The following is a 3,008-nucleotide window of genomic DNA, read 5'->3' as shown; positions in this document are numbered from 1 at the left end:
CACCTGGGAATTGAAGGCAGGGTTAGAAGAAGATGTAATAACTATGCTAAAATCTAGAATAAAGTAGAAGCTAATATGTTTGCATGAGAAATAGAAGAAAGAAGCACCACGTCTTTGGTAGAGCAACTCATATGCGTAACAGCCCTGTTCAAAAACATTTTAAAAGGCTAGTAGCAGTTTGAATGTAAAGTGGAAAGAGGAAGAAAGCCTAAGAGAAAGAGGAGCTTGGGGAAGTAGGCAATGGTTAGGATATTTGGAAACTGAAAGACTATGATCATGTTTCTCTAAGATAAAAAAGGAAATCCATTAAAGTGTTCTAAACAGGTAGGTGATTGGTGACATGACTCAATTAACAGTTTAGAAAATCTCTGTGACTGTAGTAAGGAGAAAAAACTCCTGGAGGAAGAAAGGGCAGGAGACGATGGTCACATGGACTATGGTGATGGCTTGAGGAAAAATATCAATAGATTGGATAATAAATAATGAGTTGGATTTGGAGGGTACGCAAGTGAGGGGCATCCAGAAGAATACTTAAGTTTCTGTCTTGCATAGCAGGATGCATGGGTGGTAGTGTTATCCATCAAGCCAGAGAACACTGGAGAAGAACCCTGTACAAAAGGAGGCCCTTGAGTTCACCTTGGGACATTATAAACTTGAGGCGTATTCAAGACACTTAACCAGAGATGTCAAGCAGTCAACTGAATATGAGTATGTTACACAACAAAGAATCCTGGATGGAAACATAAACTTGCAATTAAGTCCTATTTGAAGCCTCATGCATGGTTAAAATTGTTTATGTAAAGAAAATCAAAACAAGGAGACAAAAAATAAGACAGAAATGAGTTATTCATTTTAGGCAGCTCAAGACAGCAATATACAACTTCAAAAAACCACCAGTCCCTTGAACTATGTTGTGAGTGAGCCCTTTGGAGTTGTTAATGTGGCTGCTATGGACAGAAATTGTAAGACCCAATTACTAGGGAGAGGAAAGTGAGCCTGAAAAGTGAGTGCCTACCCAGAGAAACAAGAAAAAAATATGGACAAGGTAGAGCCATGGTCAACAAGGGAAGAAAGTATTTCAAGAAGTAGGGCGATATAAAATGTTACAATTGCTGCAGAAAAGTCAAGTAAGATGAGGCTAGAGGAAGGACATGGAGCTTGGCAACCTAAAAGTCATCAGAATCCTTTCAAGAATTGTCTCAGTGTAATGACAGGGCTAGAAGCCAGATTGGAGTAGGCTGAGGAGTGAGCAGGAGTCTTACCCGTTACTATCAACCCTCTGTACTCTAATAGAACTTATCTCACTACGCTGAATCCATATCCTTTTCAACTTTTCAAATGAAGTGTGAGTTCATTAGGACCATAAATTATTTATTTTTGCATTCTAGTCTTATCACAATAGTCAGAGTCGTCCTCCCAAATCAGATCAGCTCTCTACTCTGCCTAAAATCCTCCAGTGACTCTCAAGAATCCTCATATGACCTTCCATATCAGCCATTCCCTTTATCTCTCTGGCTTAATCTTCTACCTCTCGCCCCCTCACAGCATCCAGTAAAGGACCCCGGCCTCCTTACTCTTCCACAAAATGCTCAGCTCGTTTCCCTTCTTTCCATCTACTTGTGTGCCCTTTCCATACACACCCTCATGGATAATTTCCTGGCTTCTTCCCAATCTTTATTCAAATGTCACTTCTTTTCATGAGAGGCCTACCCTACAGACAGTCTAAAGTGTCACCACCACCATCTCATTAAAATGGTCTCTGTCCTTGCCTGTTTATATTTTTCCTCTTCAATACTTAACACTTTCCAATATACTCTAATTTATTTATCATGTGCTTTGCCTATTCTCCATTAGAATGTGTTTCATGAAGGGAGGCCTTTTTCATGTGTGACTTTTTACTGTTATATCCCCAGTTCTGCAGTAATATTCTATTCAGAGAAGTACTCAGTAATTATTTGTTGAACAAATACAAATTTCCAGTGCTTTACACAGTGCTCTATGCATAATAGGCATATGGTAAGTTCACAAATGAATATATTATGACCAAATTATATTAATTACTAAGATTGTATTGAATACAATAATGCAAGTGATTTCATCTATTTCCTTATTATTAATTTTTGGTGTTTATCAGTAACCCATCAAAATTGCAGTCTAGTCATTATGGTGAAATACTTTGAAGCAATTTGCAATTGTAGGATTTCATTGGCTATCCATATCAACCTCGAAATTAGAATGATGGAATGTTATGTACTCATTTGGATCTAATGCCTTTCCTGGAGCATCAGGGTAAGAATACTGTTTTCATTAACTTTCTTAATAACAACACTAAAAGATGAACATTCTGTAAGTCTGAAATTCATTTGTTTTTAAACTCATTTCAAACATGAGCTTGGCTTCACAAAGCAGAAAAGAAAGATAATGTCATACTCTGGACTTGACTAAGAGGGTGGATTAAACAATTGGGTGGAAATGTTTCATGACATCTTTATGTCCTGTACTGATGTTTATTTCAAATTGAGTGATTTATTGCTCCAAAATTTTTATCTTATATGATTTCATATCATTTTTCTCCCCAAAGAAAATAAAGACTAAATTGTTGAGCCATAACTCAGTCAACTTCATAAATTTGTGACCTGTCATCAAGTGTAAGTATGGGAGAATTGTCATAATGATGGAGATTAGTTTGTCTGGGGTAGAGGGGAGATCTTGAGACATAACTTCTAGCAGAGTAAACCATTTTCTCTGAGGAGCTTGGTGAATGTTTTTAAGAAATATGGTTCATTGACTTTTTTTTGAAAAAGAAAAATTAATGATAACAGGTAGGAGGCATAGTAGCCACTGTTCCCCTAAGGCACAAACACTATATAAAATGTGTGTCCAGAATGTAGTCAGGGCCAAAGATCATGGTATAGATCTCATGTCAAAAGCAGGAAAGAATAAATAGTAAATCTACTCCTCTGGGGCATACTTCTATTTCTTTTGTCTTTTGTCTTATCTGAACTACC

Source organism: Homo sapiens, chromosome 2 (genome assembly GCF_000001405.40).
Source record: "Homo sapiens chromosome 2, GRCh38.p14 Primary Assembly".
Lineage (NCBI taxonomy): Eukaryota > Metazoa > Chordata > Mammalia > Primates > Hominidae > Homo > Homo sapiens.
Note: the sequence above shows the minus strand (reverse complement) of the source record.